The 25,744-nt window shown below is 41.3% G+C and overlaps 1 protein-coding gene across 26 annotated transcripts in view, besides 1 other annotated feature; it reads right to left on the bottom strand.

The window, feature by feature from the left end:
- Positions 1 to 1,406: 1,406 nt before the first annotated feature.
- The window catches only part of LDAH (lipid droplet associated hydrolase), a 140,613-nt gene continuing 116,275 nt past the window's right edge, over positions 1,407 to 25,744 (bottom strand). For 9 of the 26 annotated variants that reach the window (NR_104233.2, NM_001282722.2, NM_001282721.2 and 6 more), the window contains 2 exons: positions 20,488 to 20,570; positions 2,949 to 6,012 (listed from right to left, as the gene is read on the bottom strand). Coding sequence is in view for 9 of the 26 variants with exons in the window: in NM_001282722.2 (NP_001269651.1) it covers positions 5,821 to 6,012; positions 20,488 to 20,570 (275 nt within the window). In the remaining 17 variants the exon portion in view is untranslated. Of the gene's footprint in view, positions 2,387 to 2,948; positions 6,013 to 20,487; positions 20,571 to 25,744 lie in introns of those variants that run through there. The other 17 variants (XR_001738878.3, XR_007079567.1, XR_001738877.3 and 14 more) reach the window with 7 other exon arrangements.
- Positions 12,734 to 12,918: a silencer, noted in NCBI's record as "fragment chr2:20893576-20893760 (GRCh37/hg19 assembly coordinates)". NCBI's record gives its function as "represses an EF-1alpha promoter that drives an FKBP-Casp9 reporter gene in an ReSE screen in K562 erythroleukemia cells {active_cell/tissue: K562}" and the evidence as "EXISTENCE:reporter gene assay evidence [ECO:0000049][PMID:32094911]".

Raw genomic sequence — 25,744 nt, forward strand, 5'->3', positions numbered from 1 at the left:
GGCTGTAATGGACGCCCAGTCACAGGGTCACATTCTCATCCCAGGGAAGAGGAATTTTCCCATAGACTTACCCAGCAAGGAAATCTGTCCCAATGTGGGGAGGTCAGCACAGGCCCCTTTGCCAGAATGTTTGAGGAATGCAACACAAAATGAAAATGCTCGATTATCCCAGAGCACAGTCATGTGTATTGTTGCTGTAATTCCCACTCGGGGTGCTGCGCGGGGTTAGTGCTCAGCAAATAATAAACTACATATTTGGTAGTTGCTAATACCCAAACTCCAGAGGTTTTCTAATTGTAGAAGAATGGAAGTAACAGTTGCAGCCATATCAGACAAGATGAATGGGACACAAGGGATAGTGGCCTTGCTTCCTTGCAGTCCCCCAGTGCCAGACACAAACAGTCTGCAAAGATTCAGACATCCTTGAATCTATCTGACCCAGTTGTGCACAGCTCTGCTGGGGAAACACTTAAGGGATAAAAGAGCAAGTGTCCATGTCTGCACTCCCACTGATGTGTCAGTTTTAAGATGAAGAAGCCCAGAGATGTGATTTCCTGGTAGTCCGACCCAATGTGAGAATTGCACTTTTTCACAGCTTGCCTATTAGGTATGGTAGAAACTTTTTATTAATTTAGATAACAAAATTTATAGACTACCCTGTGTAGCAGGCCATATTTGATATGCCCTGACAGCACAGAGATGACTAAGACAGAAGGTCATCTTCTAGGACTCTCCTGAGAGAAGGGGTGTTGGTGGAGGCAGGGAGGAGCAGACTGCAGAGACACAATCCCGCAGCAATGATAAGTCATTCAGTAGACACAGGCCAGGCCAGGGGTCATGAAGACTGGCAGGGCATGGAAGGGTGGGAAGGACCGCTCTGGGAGGCAGGAGCAGTTGGTATTTTAGGCCACGTCTCATGGGGTGGGGTAGAGGATGGGCGTAATCAAAGCTGGAGCAGTGATTCCTGTACAGAGGAGTCCACAGGAAGCTCCCGTGCGTGGCATAAGACCAGGTGGCTATGGAAGAGTTGCAGAGGTGCCGGCCATGTGGCTGCAGCCACAGCACTGACTCCCAGCATGTGGGCTTGCTTTCTCTCAATCCACTGCCTGATGCATATTTTTGCCGTCTGAAAACTGGTCTCTGTTATAGCTTTCATTCTTTTAAAACTACTCATTTGTTACCAACGATCTACTCGTCACTTCTTCTGTCAATCGGGTCCTCATTTGCCCTTTGCGTGACTCTCTTTCCCGGCTCTCCACTTTTGCTAGGCTTGCCCACTGTGGCCTCCAGGAGGCAGCATGATGCAGTGGAAAAAGGGGATGAAGTGGTGGCTCTGGAGTAGAGGCCTGAATTGGAATCTGGCTTAGTTCATTTTCTGTTGCTATAATGGAATATCAGAGACTGGGTAATTTATAAAGAAGAGATTTATTTCTTACAGTTCTGGAGGCTGGAAAGTCCAAGATTGAGGGGCTGGCATCTGGTGAGGACCTTTGTGCTACATCCTCCCTGGCAAAAGGTGGAAGGGCAAGAGAGCATGAGAGAACAAGAGATCAAACTTGCAGCCTAATATTGTGGCTTTTTATCACTGGCATTAATCCATTCAGGAAGGAAGGGCCCTCATGACTCAGACACTTCCTGTTAGGACCCACCTCCCAATAGTTGCATTGGGGATTAAGTCTCTAACACACGAACTTTGGAGGACATGTGCAACTACAGGAGAACCCCAGCTCTGTCATCTATTAACTGTGAGGTCCTTAGCAAGGCACCTCAGTGGTAATCTGTATAATGGGCATAGTCAGAACATCACAGGATTGGGAGGCCTAAGTGAGACACTGTGAAGGTGCTGGGGTGAGCAGCATACTCCTTATCTGGATTAGCTCTCATCTATTCCAAACCACCTATCCAAGTTCTACCTGCCCTTCTAGGACTAGGGGCAACCTCATCCTCTTCTCTCTTCCAAGAGCTTTGTCTTTATAGAACCCTTTATAGAACCATAGAACCACCCAGAGCTTTCTTTGACCCTCGTTCGTGCTCTGAGGATGCTCACCCAGCATCACACTCAGTGACGCCGGTCTTGCTCTAGAGATGCCTTCAGCCTGGTGGGAGAGGCCAGACCCATGTCCCACAGACACTCCTCACCTGGGCCAATGTGATCACTTACCCATGTCTGTATGGGGCACAGGCAGGAATCTCAATCCTCTTAAAAAGTGATTAGAAGAACACTCATATGAGCTTTGCTGTCCTCAGCACTCCTGCAGAAGAGCTTCATTCAAGGTCCCACAGATGTATTTGTTCACAGAGCACACTCAGTCCCAGCCTCCAACCTCTCCTTAAGGCCCACCCCTAAGGGAAGGAGCAGCCCAAATATATCCTTGCCTCTTCTCTTCTGCAAGAGAAGGCCAGGGATGAAGATGTCTCAAGCCATCTAAGAAATGCTTTGCTTCCCGCATCTTTTCTAAATCGACTGTTAGAACATCCTGGGCTGTGTGCAGGGAGGCCTGAATGGGCTGAGGCCAGAAAGCTGAGCCAGGTGAGCAAGTGTTATCCCTGCGTAAGAGCCAAAATGCTGACTGCTAGAATCAAGTTACAAGCCTGGTGAAACAGTGCAGGGACTGAGATACCACAGGGTCCTCTGCTACACTAAAGAGAAGAGAAATGAAAGGAAAAAAGGAAAAACAAGTTTGCTATCCTCCTTTAGGTACCATTTTATAGAGAATCCACCATATGCCAGGCAACATACTAAATGCTATATGCATGACCTCATTTTATCTCCATTAAAAAAAAAATGAGGAGCTGGGGGACTCAGGGAGGTGAAGTGAAGTCTTATGTCACAAACCTAACAAATGACAGATCTGGGATTTGAACCCAGGTCTTCATTTACTGCGTACAAGAGGAAATAGCCTTTTTGGAAAAGAAGCAATGAGACACGGATGCAGGAGATAGCATGGTGGGGTTTTAAAAATAATTATTTTTACAAATTCTAAAACATCTCAAACTTCCAAAAAATCTGCAAGTACAAAGAACATTATTTTCCCCTCAACCATCTGACAGTAAACAGACATGATGCCCCTCACCCCCAGATACCTCAGTGTCTCCAGTACAAACAAGGACACTCTCTTACTTCTTCCCAGTACAACCACTGAAATCAGAAAATTAACAGTGGCATCTTACTCCCAGCTAATCTTCAGACCTCATTCAAGTTGTGCAAATTGTCTCAACAATGTCTTTTATAACAAAAACATCCAATTCAGAATCAGATGTTGTGTCCAATTGTCATGTCTCTTCAGTCTCCTTTAATCTGAAATTGCTTTTTTTTTTTGCTCTTTTTTAAAAATTATTTTAGACACGAGGTCTCGTTTTTTGCACGGGCTGGTCTCAAACTCCTAGCCTCAAACGATCTTCCCAGCTCATCCTCCCAAGGTGCTGGGATCACAGGTGTGAGCTACGGCACCCAGCCTGTTTGTTTTGAATATAATGTAGGATGAAGAAAAATCAAGCCTTTGGTGGTCCGTGTCTCTCCAAAGGTTGAGTGGAGAAGCGTATGGTGAGAGGCCCTTGGTGGCCATGGACATCAGGCCACACAAGCCACAGAGGGCTTGTGGAGATGCTTATGGCTGGGAACAGACTAGGAACAAACACGGGTGTGGTCAAAGCTCAATCGCTGAGCACTCGGTAACTCTGCAGGAAGTTAAAACTTTCACAAAGACCATCCATGTGGTTGACTGGGACATACAGGCAGAGCTGCTTCTGGAAAATGGATTTCTTCCACTGTTTGTCCATTTTAGTCTAATCCCTAATGAAACAGAATGAACTTCAGTCTCTTGAAATCTGATTCTTCCACCTATGAAAAAAGCAATGAGAAAGGTGGCTTTTCACTTTAAAAGAGAGACTTTGAGCCGAGTCTAACTCAGGAGAACTGCTCAAATTGTACCCTCTCTTGCCCAACACAGAGATCAGGCCAGACCAGGTCAGAAATGCTGGTAAAACATTTATTTCAAAAATTCATTTGGTTTTCAGATGATAAATAGGAATTAAGAATGAGTATCTTTCTTAGGCTCTAAAAACCAGAAATAAGACACAATTTCATACGTGCAGACTTTTGAAATATGGAGTAACATTTAAAATAACAGATAAAAGAAAAGCTCTGAATGTTACTCTTTATTCTGGTAGGTATGATTTACCCAGTATTGTTTACATGCCTTGATTTAGTATCAGTGAGTATCTCCTGTATGCAAGGCGCTCAGAGCCATGATTCCTAGCTTCTAACATCCGATTTCTAGGCCTCTCATGCAGATGCCAATAAAGGATCTGTGTACAGCCCTGTGCTTACGGCCTATGTATCTATTAGCTCTTCCCCTTGGGCTAACAGCACTCCTTGTCTGGAGCTTGGCTTTTCCCCTCTGAGAAGTCACTTGCTGTGATGTAGAAGCTATGCCAAAGCACAGTAACTCATTCAGCACTTACCAATAAGTTGGCAGCAAATCAGAGCCAAATCTTTCATCAGGGGGCTTTAGGATTTGAGCGGAGGGACATCTCATTGTCCTTAGGGAATGATAATGCCATGAGGGATTTCCTCTAGGAGAAAAAGGAATATTTCTGATCCATGATCAACTGTCACTGCAGTATGTGGTTCTCAAGATTGAGTCAATTTAGGGGAGGCAGCAATATTGTCAGCCCACTCTAGGCCAGGGAATATGTGTCTTCTCTGCCATACCTCAATGTGTCTAGAGAAGGTGAATTCACATAACTTAATGGCTGGGTTTGGTTCATTAACAAAATAATTTCTTTCCAGCAAATGAAGTTAATGCAGAAATGGAGAGTTAATGTATGGCAATGTTTTACTGAGCAGTTTAAAAGAAGCTTTTAAAAATTATTCACTAGAAGATTTCCAGAAGAAAAGAATCATTAAGTAGCTAAGAACTCCATCCTCAATGGCTAGCACACTATTTGGCTCATTGATGGTCTTTAATGGAGTTTTAGTGCAAGAATTACAGAAGGAGCAACTGTACGTTGGCACATCCAAGCCTGCTTTGGGACAGCCCAGTGCCTCTCCATCCTGGCTCTGGAGAGGAGGAGCCTGCAGGGAGCTTATAACCTGGGAGGCTAAGGCTCAGCATAGAACTTGCTGGTTGTCCTGTGGCAGGAGGCACAGTTGGGGTCCTTCAACAATTCTTTATCTGGTTAGCTGACCAGAGTAATGTCTGGTGAACTTTATTCTCTGTCTAGTGCAGGTACATTAGACGTCACATTGATGATCTCAGCCAAGATCTGTGCTAAGTTAGCCTGGGCTCATCTTCATCTTCTGTCTTACAGGAGACCCAGGTTCACTTCCTGCTCCTGGAACATGAGTGTATCCTTGTCATAATCTCATACACTTCACATATCTAACTATACTCTTAACATTCACTGATTTATTTTACATTTTCTAGTAGGTATTTCATAATTTCCTCCAGAGGAGCCTATTCTACAATGTAACTCAATTAAAATCAAGTACATGTAGATTTTTTTTTCATCTGCAAAGATCCTGCCTACCAAAATAAACCATATGGTGCCACTGGGCATCTTGTGCAAACACAAGACTCTGTGTAGATCACTGTGTTCCCTGAGTCTTGGAAAATGTATGGTTAAACCTATGGAATGATTCATCAACTGTGTTTACTTCAGCCTATAACATGGCGAGCGGAGAGTTGGTTTGTAAGACAAAGGTTCTCACTTTCTTCATTTCTAATATCAGTCTTCAAAATTAAACATTTACCTACTAAGTCTAGTACACTGACTGCCTCCATGTACTGGCAGTGGGGGCTTGTTCCTCAGGCCAATTTACATTTTGGACAAGTCATCCTTTAGGGAGTCAGCAATCATGTCTGCCATTTCCTGGTTAAAATGGGTGATGAAAGCATGAGGTATGTTTTTCTCACAGAGTCGAATGTCTCCTTCTGGAAAATCCTTCTTAATGTCTTCATAGTACTCTTTTGGACACCAAGGATCTATAGTACCATAATAAAATGTAAGCTGAAAGACAAGACAAAAACCTTTTATTAGAAAACACGTTCCCTTCCTGACACAGATATGACACCAGCAGCCGGCAGTGCTCTGAGGACAGCACCTACGCCTGACCCTGGGAGCTAGTCCCTAAGCTCTCTCCAGAGTGTGGCTCTCTCAAGGCAGCAAGGCTTCACGATGTACAGGAGTGCACTTAGAAGAATTTGGTGGGAAGATCCCCATGCTGGGAGACTCTTGTGTGATAGATCACTCATAATTCACTGAAACGACTTACCAGGAAAGTTTTGTGTACTAAGGTTGGGATGGACACTGGAATGAAGGCCGGTGAGGATGACGAAGACAGTTATTGAGACATAGTCACTGAATGACTAGTGACCAGTTAATAAACTTAGTTGTTTCCAAATAGCCACATGGTAGTCATATGGGATGTATTTGTTGAATGAATACAAACACAGATCAGATAGACTCAGGCTTTCCAATGTAGCTGATGAAATGTGATCAGAATCCTGAGAGAGTTTATGACCTTTCTAAGAAAAGGCTCTATGCAGCCTGTATGTTGATTCAGTGGGGAAGTGCAATAATCATACTTCAATTGACAGCAAGCAGCTGAATGGAGACAGAGCCTCCTCTGTGGCATTACTAAGACCCTGAATGGATATCTACCTAAACCTGCATGTGATATATATGTATATTGCTCTAGGCTGCTGTGTTTCACTGAAAAACTGCTATGTTCTAGTTCTGTTAGTTCTAAAAATAAAGGCAACAAAGCAACATCTTATATTCAGAAGAACAGATAGTGGCAATTTCTACAAAAACCAAGAACTAAATCTTAAGGATCCTTTGACCTCTGTTATCACTGAAAGACAGAGCTATGCCTAGCTCCAGCCCCTAGTTGGCCAGCTGTAGTCACTTGCAGCTTCCCTAATATACCAAATGTGCTCCTTCATTCAGACACTGAATTGCTTACTCATTCCTTTGTTCATCAAATACAAATGGAGCACCTACTTTGTATTAGGAACCTGGAAAATAGAGATAAGACAGTCTTGGGGGGAGGGGAGAAGGGGACCCCATGTATACAAGACAATTTGAGAGCTCAGGTGAGGTGCAGCTGGTCAGAAGTAGTAGGCAGGAAAGATTCCCCAGAGTTGATGCCTCAGTTGAGTCTTCAAGCTGGGGCAGCACACTGTGGGGAGAAGACCAAGCAAACCAAAGCTTGAAAGAGCATGGCATGTGTGGGGAACTGGAATTCCACATGGCTGGAATATAGGGTGGTGGGAGATAAGACTGGAGAGGCAGAGAGGGATGAGGTCATGGACAGCATCTTCTATGCATGCCAAGGAGGTTGCGCTTTATCCCGAAGTCCACAAGGCAAAAAAGACTGCACAGTGAAGTGACATGCTGAGGTCCCTATGTCAGGAAAACCACTCTGGCCACAACGAGAAGAAGGATTGGAGGTGATCAAGTGCTGGGGGAGGAGAGTGCAGGGAAGCAGGCGTTATTGCTCACTGGATAGTTTGAGTGTATCAATTATTAAATCCATGACCTGAATATGGGACAGATGAGACTGATCTTACGAAAACAATGGCCTTCATTACAATAACATGATGCCTTAACCAATATTTAGATGGTTAGTTAAAAACACTTTATAGAGGAAAAAATTTAACATAGTACTCCAGAGAGTAAATTATGAACAAGTAAACCTCAAGTGGCAGACTTACTCTGAATTGCTTCATGGAGGTTTCCTTTTTTTTTTTTTTTTTTTTTTTTTAATTATACTTCAAATTCTGGGACATGTGCAGAGTGTGCAGGTTTGTTACATAGGTATACACGTGCCACGGTGGTTTGCTGTACCCATCAACCCGTCATCTACATTAGGTATTTCTCCTAATGCTATCCCTCCCCTACCCCCCATCCCCTAACAGGCCCCGGTGTGTGATGTTCCCCTCCCTGTGTCCATGTGTTCTCATTGTTCAACTCCCACTTATGAGTGAGAACATGCCATGTCTGGTTTTCTGTTCCTGTGTCAGTTTGCTGAGAATGATGGTTTCCAGCTTCATCCATGTCCCTGCAAAGGACATGAACTCATCCTTTTTTATGACTGCATAGTATTCCAGCTTCATGGAGGTTTTCTTGGTTGTTACCTGGGGTTCCAGTTTTGCACGCTGCAGAGGACCTGCAACTTACAGATTTATCACTTAATTCATTCTTTGCATTCTCCTACTTTTCCTCACTCCAACCATTTCTGGGCATTCCAAAGCCCCTAAAGCCAGAATTCATTTTGCCATGGTTCTTAGCAGAGTAAGAACTTCTTTTGCTTCCTAGAGAATATGAGAGCCTAGCAGTTGCCTAGTTCTTCCTCCTGGTCTCAGCTCTTTCTGTAGCTCTAAAATGCTGCAACCTCACAACCAGTGGGAGACTATTCTTTCCACTAGTAGAAAAACACGTTTCCCCGGATCTCTCAGCAACTACCCTGCTATAGCTTTGCCTTGAAATACTGTCAAGAGTACAAACTATTTGCAGGTATTAATTATCTACCAATAGTGCTGATAACATTAGGCTCTCTCTAAGCTACTCCCTATATTTACCACCAGCAATCTTTTCGATTGTATTCAGGGAATAGGATAGGGAACAGTCGCTATGCAGTTACTCAGCACTTCCTCAGAGCAGGGAACACTGCTGAGAAATCTGGAAAGTCAGACTTGGGTTCATACCTGTCAGGTCTGTTCCTCTGCTGCAGGGCATGCTCTCGCCTCAAGATCACTGGACCCTGAGAAAGCTACTCTAGGACCCTCACTCCAGTACAAGCTACAGTGTGAAGTCCTATGATAATGGCAGTCAGCTCAAAGGAAAGCCAGACAGAAAAGACCTCATCTAATACAGTTTCCTCAACAAGAAAAGCGTCACTGTACGCACCGCTGTTGCTTTCTGTCTGACATTTCAAAGACTGTTTCCATGAAGAACGTACCATTTACTTTTCTGTGATGCAATTACAACTTGAAATGTTTCCAATGAGAAGTCCAGCTTGATAAGCCCTCAGCACTGAGCAAACACCATCCCCGTACATGCAGTTAAGGCAGTGATTTGAGCAGGGGTGATCAACATGGATTAAGGGACCCGACACCCACCTCAGGGTATCAAGAGACAAATATGTCCAAGTAATTATGGGGCACACACTGTCCAAGGCATGTGCTAGGAACCTCAACAAAGAGTGGTGTCAGTGTTCAAGACAGCAGAACAGTGAGGAGTCTAGACCTCCCGTATGCTTATCTGATTTTATTTCTCGATTCTCTACAATCCTTAAACGTTTGAAGTGGGCCCCATTTGGTTAAACGCCTAACTGATGATGGGGGTGGGCTCACGTTTTGTAAAATTTTGTTTTCTTTTACAAGTTCTTTTTCAGGCTATATATTCTCTAAAGGGCTTCCTATGAAAGTCTTGGCTTACAAGTAAAACACATGGTTATCTAATGCCTTTACATACACTGGCTTGAGATACTTCCTTTTCCCTATAAATTATAAATCACAGGCAATAGATCTGACCGGAGAACTCCGCACCTGCAGCCCTGAACAGGAAAATGAGAAAGTATGGAGTGTGTGGTGGCACTGGCGGGGGATGGGGGAGGAGGGGTGAAGTAGAAAGAAAGAGAAACAACTGGACACCAAAAACATAGTGGTTAACAGTGCATACTCTTTATTTATCGGTATGCAAAAATGAATCGCAATGCACCATGATGAACCAATGGGCCGAGAGCAATGGCCAGGCTCTGTGCTAAGTAAGCACTTTCTATGTATTATCTCGTTGTATCCTCACAACAATACTCTAAGGAAAGTATTGTATCTATATTTTACAGAAAAGGAAATTGAGGCTTAGCAAGATTAACCTGCTTATTTCAAGCAATTTTGCATTGAAGAGCTGGGCTACAAATCCACAGACAACATTCCTAACTTGTACCTTTTGCTACTACTTACAATTCCAGTAAATAGACCCGTTATAAAAACATAAAACCTGACAACTGGCAGGTCTTAAACTGGATATGAAAACTAATAGAGTGTGAGAGTTGTCAACAGGAGCTAACACAGCCACCTTTATTTTTATTTACTTTTTTATTCTGAGACAGTCTTACTCTGGGCCCAGTCTAGAGTGCAGTGGTGTGATCTCAGCTTACTGGAGCCTTGACCTCCCGAGCTCAAGTGACCTTCGCACATCAGCTTCCAGGGTAGCTGGAATCACAAGCGCATGCCACCATGCTCAGCTAATTTTTAATTTTTTTTTGTAGAGACGAAGTCTCCCTATGTTTCCCAGGCTGGTCTCCAACTCCTGGGCTCAAGTGATCCACCCACCTCACCCTCACAAAGTACTGAAATTACAGGCGTGAGCCACAGCACCCAGCCTTCCCAACTACCTTTACTGAAAGCCTTCTCACAGTCTATGTAGCTCTTCTGAGGCACTGTGTGTCATGGGGGTGATAACTGCCATGAAAGTACTGGAATTGTTAACAAAGAATCGCAGGCAATCAGCAGGATGTTTACATTCAAAGGTTTAGAAGAAAATAAATTATTTCCTGTAGTTTATTTATCCTTAGCACTTGTTTTGGAACTCATGAGAGTTGATAAAAAGTATACATTATTGAGATAGAAATTTTTCTGTTTCCAAATTGTCATGTTAAGTAACCCATTGTTTTCTATTAAGCACAAAATTTAACTTTTTTTCAGTCTAGATTTTGATTCTCCAGAACCATGCTTTGGCTTTTCCTCCTGTGTTTTCTGCAGGAAAGTGGATTTATGGTTACTATGGTCTCTGGGCTTATAGATGAACTTCCCTTTAACTGTTTAATGTGCACCTAAGGGGACAGGGCCCTCCTAAAATATCCCTGCAGGTTGCTGCAGCTTGTCCCCACATCTGTCTTTTCTTCTGTGTGTTTTTTTTTCCCCACTTTTTGGGGGGTCTACAAACAGCACTGTTGGACAGTGAATTGCTGAAGCTGATAGATTAAAATGAGTTCCACCAAAAATGACTCTGATTCCATCCCATATCTGGTACTAGGCTAAGTGGCTGACATTCAGAAGTGTGTAAGATGGTCTCTGCCCTGGAACAGCTCACAGACTAGGCGAGAGAACAGACCTATATAAACTGGCTCTTAAATACAACAGGCAGACAGAGGTATGGACAAAGCCCTACGGGACCCCAAAGCAGGAAAACCCAAATTCTGCCCTGAGGGAGTGAACATGAACAAAGCTTTGTTTTAGTATACATTTGGAGTTGCATGCTTTTATGCATTACTAATAGAGGATTTATAGTAAGAACAAAGAAATATTAGAAGCATCTTATGATTTAGCTAATAACAAAACTCACTTTCAATGACATAGCAACATCTTAAAATAATAACAATTTTAAAAGCCACACATAAAAATCTCTATCTGAATTATCTGTCTATTCAATAGGACAGTAGGACTACAGGCATTACAGGAATAAAAGGGCTAATAAAATGAAAGTTTTGCATCTCTATATATTTTTGCATATATATATTTGTTGTTGGTGTTAACCTTATGGATAAACTGAATTTTAGAAGCTCTTTAAATCATAATTCACCACGAAGTCAAGTTTGGTACAAACGATATCTCATCAATACAACTTGAAATGTTTCCAACGAGAAATCCAGCTTGATGAGCCTTTGGCACAGACTACTTTGGGTAGTCAATTTGTGGGGTGCCTGTTTTGTGATATAGTGCAGGCCTGAGCAGGGTGGTAAACGGCATTTCTGGGGGTGTCATGCTGAGAGTGAAAGGGCTTCTCATAATGTCTTTATATCACAGTGTGGTAAAATAATTGTATTTATATTATTCTAAAGTAATTTGTGAAACTACTCAAGCTCCTTATGCAGCCAAGAAGAGCGTAGTGCAGTGAGTACAGTGTTAAGACTGTACAGGTCCCTGAGCCATATCCACCTGGACTGGAATCTTGGTTCTGCCATTTATTGGTGCTGTGAGCCTGGACCAGTTACTTAGCTTCCCTGTGCCTGTTTACTCATCTGTAAAGTAAGACAGAACTAGTTACCTGTGGGCTAGTGCTGAGGACTGGAAAACAAAGTGTATCAAGTGCTTTCCACATGGTGGGCACTCTTAAAGGCTGCTGCTTTACAGGTGAGGACAAAGGGAGCTCCTCGACACAGACTGGGCAATGGTGGGCTGGGTGGGTGGGAGCTGTGCCCTGCTCAAGGAAAAAGAATCCACATGACCTTACATTAGCCTTTGAGAAAATATATTCTATTCTGATAAGTTGTTTTTGACATAGGCTCAGAAAATGTATAAGTATTAAACATTTTTTAAAATATAAAACAAAGTTGTTTTACCATATACTTACTCATTATCTAAAAAATGTACATGTCATATTCCCCAGACATGACTGTAGAGAAAGACAGGTGGGGTAGAAGATAAGTCGCCAACCAAATAAACAGTGAAGCACATCCCTATCCTCAAGCCGCCACTAACAGTCAGCTCTTGGTGTGGATTCTATACTTCCACTTTTATAATAAAACCTACTTTTCCTCATAAAGGAGACCTGGAGCCTAAGCTATAGTGCCCTTTGGCTATCCTTGGTTGAGCATCTTCCAAATGAAGAAAGGCACCGACATTCTGGGAGTTACTTTTCTTCCTGGTGAGCTCACAGGGTGAGCCTGTGGGTTCTTGCAGCAGTGAAGGTAATGCCCACCGCTTTTCTGAGCAATGCAAGGCTTTCTGTTAGCACTTCATCAACAGCTGTAGCTCCCTGGCAGCTTACGCTGCATGGCAGGGCAACCAGGAAGCCAGCACTAGAGACAGTGACCAAAGAGGAGTGACACAGATTCTGAGAGAGATCTATCTTCTTGGCCTTTCTTCCAGAGGTCTAAGAAAAATATGTCATTCCTGCTTTCTCCAGGTTTTCTTTCCTTCTTTGAAATAATTTGCACTAGAGCAGGTTTTTTGCTTGTTTCATTGTTTGTGAAAAAAGCAAAAGGTCAGATATAAAGCAGTCGGTTGAATACCAAGGGATCAAATTAGTACCTACACATACAGGCCCCCTACTTCCCAGCTAGGGCCCCTACCCTGCCTTTATCTCCTGTTTTCATCCCCTTGAAGCTTTCCCGGGCTCGGGATATAAACTGTTAGGTCCTCCAATGCATGCCCATTTCTGGGGAGAGTCCAGACAGTCTGGATGACAGCAGCAGGCTTCCACTTCTCCCCTCCCCTCAGAGTCAAAGACATGTAAGCCCCAATCTTGCAATGTTAAAGGAAACCGATTCTGTGATATAAGCATCTCCTTTCAGTTACTTAAAAAATCTTATCCCTGTTGGGGACACAGGCAGCTGCAAAGTGTCAACATTTCACTGCAGTCTTTCTGAGCCTCTGTTTTTAGGGACTTGCAGAATTGCTAAAGAAAGGGAGATGGTTTAGGGACTTCAGTTTTTCCAGTTACCTTGTTTCCTCTCTTCCGTTTATTCCTAACTGGCTCAATTACCATTCTTGAGAAAATGAGAACTGAAATCTCCAAAGATTTTTAAAAAGTGGCTGAGGATGGAGGTGAAAACACAAATGCTTCCCGCCCGTGAACCCTGCTTCTCTCTGCAGGCACAGAGGGGAGCGGTGGGAATGGGAGCGCCAAAGGAGGAGTAGGTCCTATGGGGCACTGTGTGGCTCACTCTCCAGTAGCTGGAACAACCATCTGTGTATACAGCGGTGTGCAGAGCAGCACTCTCCTTTCCGTGTGGCTAACATGTAAAGGGCCAGGATCCTCTCCCTCCCACATACAAGCCACGAGGCCATCAAGTGACTGGCTTGTCTCTTTCTCACGTGAGACTGCACTGAGATGCTAACCCAGGGCCTCTGCTTTCCTCTGGCGAGGCCCTCTGGCAAAGTAAGAGGCCCTGAGCGCCAGTCTCCTTCTGTGTTTCTGTCCTTCCCTGGATCTGTGCCCCAAGAAGGGGGCAAATGTACTGGAATGGTTTTACTCAACTAACTGAGAGAAGGGCTAAGTCCAGTTCATCAGACTTCTCTGGACTAGAATAATGGGCCCAAGCCTTGGTAAAAATCAAGTACTATTGTGTTTTCCCCTCATTATGGTTCCTATACAACAGCTCCTTGAGGCATCTTATGGGGAGTGGTGGCTGTTGTTTAGAATGGCATTGGGCATTCCGGGGTCTCTTGGCCACATACTCAGCATCACTAATACCTTTCATTAACACAATGAAAGTATCTGAAAAGGGGATGTGAGAAGAGGAACAGTTAGGCAAATAGTCTTTTTAAAGTGCTTAGAAGCATAACTAGGCTATAACTAACTTTGTAATAGTAATAAAAACATTTATTGAATGCTTAGTGCATTCCAGACACTCTTTCTTTTTTTTTTTTTTTTGAGACGGAGTCTCGCTCTGTTGCCCAGGCTGGAGTGCAGTAGCATGATCTTGGCTCACTGCAACCTCCCCCTCCTGGGTTCAAGCAATTCTGCCTCAGCCTCCCGAGTAGCTGGGACTATAGGCATGCACCACCATGCCCGGCTAATATTTGTATTTTTAGTGGAGACGGGGTTTCACCATGTTGGCCAGGCTGGTCTCGAACTCCTGACCTCATGATCCACCCGCCTCGGCCTCCCAAAGTGCTGGGATTACAGGCATGAGCCACCGTGCCCGGCGGAGATACTCTTATAAGGTCTGAATTACAAGGTATGAATTATAGCATATTTTTGGAATAGCTGTATGAGGCTACATACTATTATTAACCATTTTATTGATGAATAAAGGAGGCACAGTGAGGTCCGGTAACTTAAGCAGGGTCATGAACAAGGGTGGATTTGGTGTTTGAAGCTTGGCTGAGACTCTGGGAGCCCAGCTCTCCAGCACGTTTGCCTCCCCTCAGTCACCAGGCTCCACTGCAGAACCCCAGAGTGTGCTCACACAATTGCCCAAATAAAGCTTTCAAGGTCACAATATTGAGATAAAAACAAACCTATCTATTTTCAGGATGATTATGACATTCTGGACAGGCTTTAAATTAAACAGGCAGAACTAACACAATCCGTTTCAGAATACCGAGGCTTGGCGGAAAGGCAGGCCTGGTGAGCTGGTCCAGGGAGCATTTCCTATGCTGCAGCAGGCAGGACATGTGCATGTCAGAAGGATTTGCATGCCCCAATCTGCAAACAACTGCACAAGGTTTGCTCCCAAAGGCAACACACACCTTTGGGCTAAGGCAGGCTAAGAGGGATGGGGAGAGAGCAATAGCAGAGGAGTTCCTGTTCTTGAGGACACTTGCCCCTTTCCCAAGCCACACTGTAGCCCTGGCCTGGCCCTCTGGGGGCAGGGGCAGCACCACCTTACAGGCAGCCCCCCTACCACTGCCTAACTTCATCTGAAAGCTGCACTTCATGTGTTCTCTTTGGAGCAATTTCAGATTCCTACTTACTGATAGTGATGCTCAGATTCAGTCTGGCAGTAGCACACACCAGCTGTTTCCGTAAGCCTGGGCCAAACGTGGTCATGGCAGTTTAGAATTCCCCCCCTAAGTGGGTTTGAAATGAAAACTTCAAGTTTATAAACCAAACATGAGTTCACTTTTCAATGAATGAGACATGCATCCCTTATGGCTTAGAACAGTGACAGAACAAGGGAGTGCTGACCTCTTATTTGCCTCTGACACACCAGGTGCCTCATGAAACAGAGAATACTCCAGAGGTTTCCAGACAAACTGGGATTGGGGTGGCGAAAACGCACAGTTGATTCTCTTCCCTTGGTTTATTTCATCCTGGTTCTCCTTCCCACCCTTCTTACCTCCCCTCCCATCTTATTCATTCAGTGGCTCCTCGTCTTCCTCCCAACCCTTAAGCTGGGTTCCCTAATGATCAATCATTAGAAGTCTTCTCTCCTTATTCTGTATACTTCTTTAGGCTGCTATTACCCATGCTCTTGGCTTTAACTACAGCCTCATCACTCCCCAACCAAAAGTCAGCCTCAAATATCTTTCTAAGCTTTACACCCATACATCCAGGGCCTGCCAGACACGGATCCACTTGCATGTCCCACTGGCATCTCAAATACAAGTACCAAAATGAACCACTTGTTCAGCCATCTCCCATAACTTGCTGCTGCTTCTCTTCCCATATTCCCTGTCTTATTACCAAGTCCAGATACAAAGAAATAATCTTAGATTCCTCCATCTCCATTCCCCAATATCCTGTTAGTACTCAGTACCTTTGATTCTATCTCCTAAATCTTTCCATCTTCAATCCCAATGCCTTAGTTCTTATAAAAGCTTTGTAAACAGGCTCCCCAACTCATATTTCATCCTTTTCTAGTATTATACCACACATTTGCCCTCAAGATAATCCCTCTCATTTGTTAATCTCACCAAATTCCTAGGGCTAACTGATATGAACTGGTGCCCCTGAACTGGCTGTTCATAGCTGGCATACATTCTGATTGGTCAATCCCTATATCACATGGTTGTCAAATGTTTTGACTGTCACCCTGTTACTCCCATGCTTAGACCCTTCAATAGCTCCCCAAAACAGTCTCTTCAGTGTGGCATATCATGACTTTTTGTTCTCAGGCCAGTGCCTAAGCCACAACATCATGCTACCTAACCTTTTCTAGTTTCTCTAACGCAGGGCTTCTTTGCTTGCGGTGTACAGGTCCAGAGGTTTGGAGAAGGGGTTATGTAAACTTTGGAAAAATTTACATGTTTACTTTTGTTAATCTCTAACCAAAATTTAGTATTTCTTTCAATTAGGAATACAGGCAACAAGCTACAATATTAGTAATGCCTATATTTTGTCATCTATAAAAATGATAAGTATTTTTAAATCACACTAACTTGCTCAAGGTAACTAAAACATTATACTTATCATTACAAATTAAAAAAAAATTCTGACTGCTATTATATCTCATTATCCAACAACTTCTTTCTTTTGTAATCTTGTGTATTTTATGCACTTAACATCATTGTGAGTAGAATCCAAAAGCTTTATGAGAGAGCGAAAGAGATGCATGGCACAAAAAAGGTTTAGAATCCACACTCTAGTTAATGGCGTCCCCATCTATCCATCTGTCTAGCACATATTTACTGACTGTTTACCAGGTATGAATTATGCTAGGCCCTAGGGGACATCAAGACGAAGAAGACACAGCTCCTTACCTCAACGTGGGGAAAGGTGAAGGTTGATTGTTTAAATACTGTGTGATAAATGCAATATAACTTTACATAGGGAGTAACATCTAACCAAAACCAAGGACTGGGAAGGCCTCTTGGGGATGACACTAGACAAGCAGGATTTAGTCAAATGACAAAATAACCTATAGGCCGGGCGCAGTGGCTCATGCCTGTAATCCCAGCACCTTGGGAGGCCGAGGCCGGTAAATCACAAGGTCAGGAGTTTGAGACCAGCCTGACCAACATGGTGAAACCCTGTCTCTAGTAAAAATTAGCTGGGTATGGTGGCGGGTACCTGTAATCCCAGCTACTCGGGAGGCTGAGGCAAGAAAATCGCTTGAACCCGGGAAGTGGAGGTTGCAGTGAGCCGAGATCGTGCCACTGCACTCTAGCCTGGGCGACAGTGCAAGACTCTGTCTCAAAAAAACAAAAAAAGGAAAAAGAAATAACCTATGATGCCATAAACCATGGTATACTCCTTTGGAAACAACCATGAGTCTGTTATATTTGCTCCAGGAAAGAAAAATTATTTTAATAAAATAAATTACTTTATGTCCAATACTGTGTATAAAGTCACTGGACCTCAGAAGGAGGATAATCAGCTCAACAGATCTTTTAGAGCTAAAAATGCCCATTTTCCTCAAGCATATAAAAAGCTCTCTTCTTGTGTCAAATGGAAATCCAGTGGTAGAAAATTTGGATTTAGAACCAAAGCCTGTAGATTATGGTATGATAGTTCTCTTGGGGAGGAGAAAGAAGTAGAATGCTGTCTGCATGATACAGTAGAAAGCTTATTTTTAGACTAACTTTCCTGTGGCATTCTGGCTGGATGGCACAAAGATATATTTTTCAGAACTATTTTTAGTTGAATAGCTGAGATACAGGAAATGATTTTTCAACAAAATGTGTGGCTTGATGACTATTCACACTGGACAGTCCTGGATAGTTCTGAAGTTTCTGAACGCCTTTGTTTGGGTGGAAATGGGAAAGAGTATCCTCGATTAAGATACCTAAATAGGAATATTTCTAATCCCGGGCATTGGTTTTAGTTTGACCAGTTATCGGGGGTGTTTGGAAGGCAGGAAGCAATGCCCACTATCTTCCTAGAACTATGTGCACTTTTAAGTTTCCTTATTTTCTCAAGCAGACTGGGACATATGTTGATTCAACTTCTACCAATATTAAATTACAGCATGTTTCCTCTTTTTATTACAGAAACAAAAAGTTGCAATAAACTTCCTGTCTCTCTGTACCTAGTTTCACTTAGGAGCTGTAATTGTATTATTCTAGTGGAGAGCTTGAATTTTGCTGGTAGAAAGGATAATGAATTAACTGCAAGGTAGTTTTGCATGATTAAATGAAACAATGCTTTGTTTCCCCATATTCTAGAAGTATATTTAATGCTATCTCAAAAACAAAACTATTGCCTGGAGTTGAAAAAGTTTATTCCTGTGACTGTGTGTTAATACTAACCTTGAAATGTCTACCATTTACCATTACACCCCCGTATTTCCCCATAAAATTTCAGTAAACTTACAGTCCTGACATAATTACCATGAACAGCCCTCTATCTGGGAATGATTACACTTGCATATGGATTTCACTTGGGACAGGAATAAGTTAGCACCTTTCTTTGACCTTTTTCTGAGCACAACACACAAGCTGAATCCAGAAATGATGAGTATTTTACAGCAGCTGGCTTCCACAGGTGGTAAAGCAGACTCTGACACATGATGGGTCTAGTTGTTCAGCAAGTGTGAATTTTGGAAGTGAGCATCTGCCAGTCTTATTATTAACTGAGAGTTGAGCTGTTTTTATGAACTCCCAACCTGGAAGAACTTAAATGCATTTTTGAAACAGATTCACTTACAGTTTAAATGGAAAATAAAATACTGTTTTTCTTGTATTTTCACATCGCTCAGTGACTGGAAGTAGCTGAAAGCCCTGGAGAGGGGGCCCTCCTGAGGCCCCAGCACTCTCCCTTCGGCTAGTGAGGGCTTCCTTCTGGTTTCCAAATTTCAATCTCTAGCCAACTGCTATTTCAGAAATATGATGACCACTATGGCCATGAGACAAAACAACACTGGCATTTTCAAAAGTCCTCTCTGGGTGAATATTTTCAATATTCTAAAAAAAAAATTTTAAGAACATATACACTTCTCGTTTTAAGATAATTGTACTGGGAGGTTATGGAATTAAGAATTAACAATGTAGAAAAGTTTAAGTCAAATGTATCAAGGTTTATAAAGACATTCTAAGTCCAGTGGGTTATCTCGTATTTCACTTGTGGATTGCTCCTGAGTCCTATGAGAGTTTGCCACTCAGCAGGGATCATTTCAGCAGGTATCATAGTTCAGCACCAATTGTAAAGTTTAAGACTAATGCTGTCCAACAGAAGCATAAAGCAAGGTACATATGCAATTTTAGAATTTCCTAGTTACAATGTTTAAAAAATTATAAAGGAATGGGTGAAATTACTTTTAATAATATGTTTTACTTAATCCACTATATCTAAGGTAGTATTTCAACAGGTAATCAATATAAAAATTAATGAAATACTTTGCTTCTGGGGGAACTAAACTTTTGAAATCCAATGTGTGTTTTACACTTATGGCACAACTCAATTAAGGCTAGCCACAAATAACCACATGTGGCTAGTGGCTATAATATTAGTACAGTTCTGTCCTACTCAGAACGGACAGCCAGACAAATGATGCCACAGGAGTACCACAGTCATCCAAATTCTAGGGTGACCTTAGACATATACTAAACCCTACTCTTATAGTTTCAGAGATTGGTGCTTCCAGATGTGTGTGTGCAAGATTCTAGTATTTGCAGCATAACTCCCAAATGTTGAATATTTCACAAAACTGGTCTTAGGGTCAGAGCAGGACATTCCTACTCTAACACATTAGAGAATAAGAAAGGCTCACTAGTCATGAGATCATATAACATATAATGTATTTTCCACTGTTTCATTTATATTCCAACATTATTTATTCTATAAATATTATGGAGTTTTCTCAGTAGAAGGCCTAGAGAGGCTAAAATGCATTGACAAAATAGAAAAGTATTGATTCTAAAATTAATTCAACAAAAACAGGTGATAAAAAAATAAGTTATTATGCAATTAGCTTTACTACTCTCTACACAACTTTCAGGGATAATTTCAATTTTAACTGGAAGTAGAACTCTATGTCATTCTACCAACCCTTAAAGTCTTACAGATTCTAACTAGTTCTAGTCCTTTGCCCTCGTATCTCTGCCCATCTACTTATTATCTATCCCCTTGCAGCACTAAAGTGATTACCTTACATAAATGCTCCTTTATGGTTTCGTCATCTCTCTTCACCACCTCCATCATTTCTTGGCCCCCAAGGTAGGCAGCATTAGCTACATTTAAAAAATAAAAAGTCAAACATTTAGAATATATAGAACAAACACAAATTTCAAATTAATTTTAGTAAATTCATGTTCCTCCTTTCTTTTGGCACGTGCTATCTGATGAGAGATACTGGTGAGGCCAACAGAGGAATGTGAGTCAGGCAACATGCACACAGTCTCTGGAAACAAGAGCATTTCATTTAAAAGAACCTTCTTCCAACCTCATCTGGCTTCTCCATAGCAAAAGTTTAACAGTGCCACAGCCCAATGTCAGATACCACAGCAGATGATGTGTGCAATTTTACCAGACCAATATGTGCTATTTCGATTTAAGGCTTAGAAGTACAAATTGTTACCAATAAATCATGTATACCAAGAAAATGCAAACAGTTACTAACATGAAAATATACTGGCTTTTTTTTTTTTAAAGGAAACAACTAAAAGGATTATTTATCTTTAAAAATACGTTTAAAGTTCTCCAGGAGTTTTCAATAGGGTTAGTCCCATTACACTGGCTGCAAAATAAGCAAAGTGATGCTCACTTTCAAGATGTCAAATACCTAGGAAAGAGGAAGAACGCCAGAGATAACATGAGTTTATGTGGCTTTCTTGTACTGGTAAGAAAATTTTCATTCAATGCTTTGTACCCTGAATTCCATTTTGGCTGGTATTATTATTCTTATCTTGCTTTCTTTTTTGCCAGCATCTGTCCTTCCCTTCATTTTCAATCTTTTGTCATTTTGTTTCAAGTATGTCTCTTGAAATCATGTAAGTGGACTTCTTTAAAAATGCAGTTTGAAAGTCTCTGTTTCTTAAATAGAAGGACTAAACATATTCACATATATTGAGATCAAAGCTATTTGGTCTGACGCCAGTCATCTTGCTTTATATACCCTACGCTTTCTTGTTATTTCTGCCTCTTATCTTTAGTGTGAATGATGAATTTTCCTCCCCACCCAGGATTTAACAAATTTCTTTTCATTAACAATCTGAAAGTATAAATTCCATTTTTATTTATCTAGTGGTTAGCCTTACCTAAAAACTGCAAACTTACTTTTTATTTTCTCTTGCTGTCTGGAATTACTCATCTAAACAAGGCATGACCTTAGCATACTTGCACTTTCCCCATGCCTTCCTCCCATCCTGCCTCCATCCCTGTTGCTTCAACCATCTGGAATTTTAGTTCCAGATTATTATTATTTTTTGAGATGGAGTTTCGCTCTTTGTTGCCCGGGCTGGAGGGCAATGGCACGATCGTGGCTCACGGCCACCTCCCAGGTTCAAGCAATTCTCCTGCCTCAGCCTCCAGAGTAGCTGGGATTACAGGCATGCGCCACCACACTCCGCTAATTTTGTATTTTTAGTAGAGACAGGGTTTCACCATGTTGGTCAGGCTGGTCTTGAACTCCTGACCTCAGAAGATCCGCCTGCCTTGGCCTCTCAAAGTGCTGGGATTACAGGCATGAGCCACCGCACCCAGCTCCCAGATTATTAATTTTTACATTTTGCCTCTGCTTTCCTTGTTTAAAGTTTTATCAAGGTAACACACATACACATATATAGTTTCATATCAAATATCACAGAAATGGTTGTAGTGCCAAACCATAGTTTTCTTTTCCATCATTTCCCATTTCTAGACCCGTTTCCTAGAGGAAGCCTCTCTGAACTCTTTTAGCTGTCCTTCCACCAGTTATCTTCAAACCTCTAAACACTTACGATCATCTTGTCATTTCTTGATAACTTATTGATTACCCTTGCTGAGTTGCTATGAAAGATGAGGATTTAGCTCCCTTTTACAGCCCTACCATTCCTTCCTGCCATCTTCTCAACATGTTTATATCTTATTTTGAATTATTCTATTCTTACTTAAATAATATACTTACACCTTTACTTCTGAATATTGTTCACTGCTGAGCCAAGTGGTATCTAGAACCACACTTCCACTCTTACACTTCCATTCTCTGTCCTCCAACATTTGTTTTCGTTACAGTTACCTTTTTTTCCCTCTTAACTCTACTCAATATTTTTCTGAGTCAATTCTTCCTGGAGACCTCCTTTCCAGGACCCTGAGACCTTCTGCTCTAACCTGGACCACTGTCGACTTAGAATTTCCCTTCACTGCCTTCTTGGGTTGTTCCTATTGTTTTCTAAGTCCCAGTTAATTAACTCATTCATTTGTTTATTCATTCAAAGATGACTGAGCACCTACTTACTTTATGCCAGGCCTTATTTTAGGCGCTGGAGATGGAGCAACAAACAAGACAGAAACACTATTCTTGAGCTTATATTTTAGTGTTGGGATGATAGATGGTGAGAAAGTGCTATGGAGAAAAATAAAATCAGCTTAGGAGATAAGTCTGTGCAGTGACAGAGGTGGCCTATTTTATGTAAAATTCACTGAAAAGACCTCCCTGATAAGGGGATGTGTGAACAGAGAAGAACTTGAATGAAATGAGAAAATGGACCATGCAGATACTTGGGTTAGCAGCACTCTAGACAGAGAATAGGGTAGGAGATGCTCCCTTAAATATAGCCATGATATAATCCTAAAAAGTAGCACTTTAATCATTCTTGTCTGTCTGTGATATTAGCATGAGTACATATAGGAGTAAATATTCTGCATTTTCTTGGCCTAATCTCCTAAATCAGAACAGGATATTTAGTCGCAGTTATATACTAAGAAGCTGGACTATAAGACTCTAAGTCCCGGTTCCAAAATCAGAACTGTCTTTGTTTTACTATATTTCAGGGAATTTATAAGGACCAACTAAATTAAAGCAACAGAGATTTGATTAATACATTATGGTCTATTCACTAAATTAATTATTCTATAACCTATTAAAAATTATCCTGCAGAATATATAATGTCAAATACATATTTAAAAATAATAGTAACTGACAAAAAACAAACCATGAAATAGTACAGTATGATCCCACTATTGTAAAGATACATTATGTGTATGGTACAGATTTATTTGAAAAGATAAACAATAAAATAATAACACGTTATCTCTGGTTGATGGAATCCCAGGTGATCTGCCTGTCCTTTCTTCTCCTCTCACTTCCCTGCCTCCCTTTCAAATAGGTTATAGTTTCTTTCTTTGTACATCATTTTGTCTTTCCTAGAATTATTTGTTGCCTTTACTTGATTTTCTTTTCTCATGAGTAGACAATGAAAATTCTTTCTTCAAAAATGCATCAGATTTTATTCCCAAATGTACAAACACATCCAATAATTCATTTATTCTGTCCCTCCCCCCACAGAGCCTTCCATTCTTTTGATCCAATCTTGGACGGGTTGCTCTCCAGGCCTGCTGCATAGCTGTCATCCTTGGACTTCCCTTTGCCACTTCTCTGGACTGGATTCCCTGTTTTATGGATTCTGTTCATGACTTTCTCATTCTTGGTTTATTCCCTTACTTTACTGAAGCACATTTTCCAGTAACTAATAAAAAGATACACAGGAATTTTTATAGATGTTTACATGTCTAATTTTTGTTTCTTTTCCCACATGAATCACATAGTTTGGCTGTATATAGAATTTTAAGCTGAAAGGGGCTTACCCTCAAGTTTATTATCTTCCAGCATCCAAGGTTTATGATTTCAATTTTAGTTTCTTGGAATGTGACTACTTCCCTTTGTCCTGCCCCTATCCCATCTCCTTATCCTCAAACTCAGCTGTCTTAGCTCTAGAATCCTGAAGTTTCATAGGAATATGCCCTAATACAAGTCTTCTATTCCTTAATTAGACTGGAAATCCAGTGGGCCCATTCACTGTTTGGACTTACCAACTTTCTTTCTGGAAAATTTTCTTTTATTATTTCTTTGGTAATTTCTTCCCCTGTTTTCTCCATCCCCTCTTTCTGGAACTCCTACTAGTAGGGTATTGGCTCTCTTAGACTAATCCTCTGTCATTTTTCTTCTATAGCCTTTCTCTTTTTCAATTTGTATTATTTTCTAAGAGACTAGTTAGAATACTATTATATTGTCTAGTGGGGGAGAGAATGAGACTTAAAGTGCTTATAGTATGAAAAAGAATAAATGATCAAAGACATAATTTTTCCTACTATAAACATGTGCTCTGTATATAAAATGCAGAAATTATATGAGTAGAAGAAATGATTAGCAAGAACTTAGTGAAAAATAATCAATATTACTATTTTGATGACTTCATTTAAATCTTTAAAATTTTATTGTTAAGTCTTAGTTTTCACATAGTTATACCGCATATGAAATTTAAAATTTTGCCTCTGAGCACATTCTAGAGTAGTGCTATGCAATATAACTTTCTGTGATGGTGGAAATGTTCCCTGTGCTATCCAACCAATACAAAGGCCCTTGGCTAGATGTGCCTCTTGAACACCTGAAATGTGGCCAGGGCAATAAGGAACTGAAATTTCAATTTTATTTAATTCATTTACATTTAAATAGCCACATATGGCTAATGTCTACCTTACTGAGCAGTGAAGTTCTTTCTAGAGCTACAAATAAGGCCGACCTTACAGAGCTAAGAAATGGATTAGATATTAGGAGAAGGTGAAGGAATGAAAAATGAATATTAGTGGGGGCTTAGGAGAAAAAAAAGTTTGGGGAACACCATGAGGAAAAGACAGATTTTATTGAAAGAGAAATTCTCATTTTCTTTATAACTCCCATTAGCCTTCTCTACAAAATCTGATCCCAACCTATGTTGAAGCTTGGCTTCATTTAAAGACTCATGCTTTCCAGTGAATGTGAGCTACTTATCCTCTAAACACATAAAATTTGCATCCTCAGCCATTTTGTTCATGGCATTCTGTCTACTTGAAGTCTTCCCACCCATCCTTTGTCTTGGCTTAGATGCTCTGTCTTTTCGCTACCTTGCTCTAACACTCCAATCTGTTAATAAAGACTGCTGAATTATCGATATAGAAGCCAAACCTGTTTAAACTGTTATTGGTTCCCAAAAATCTCAACTGAATTTTAATTTCAAATGGAAATGATTTTCCATAGTTCTACTTCTGAACAAGATGGAGTAAGAGGGACTGGATTTACCCTCCTACCTAAAATCCTGAAACAACTAAAAAAAAAAAAAAAGATAAAATACATGAAGAAAAAAGTTTTCAAGACACTGGATATTGGGCAACAAAAAGACAGCAATCCCTGAGAAAAGAGAAACGAATGAGAGGAGTCTTATGATTGTC

This window comes from Homo sapiens, chromosome 2 (genome assembly GCF_000001405.40).
Source record: "Homo sapiens chromosome 2, GRCh38.p14 Primary Assembly".
Taxonomy (NCBI): domain Eukaryota; kingdom Metazoa; phylum Chordata; class Mammalia; order Primates; family Hominidae; genus Homo; species Homo sapiens.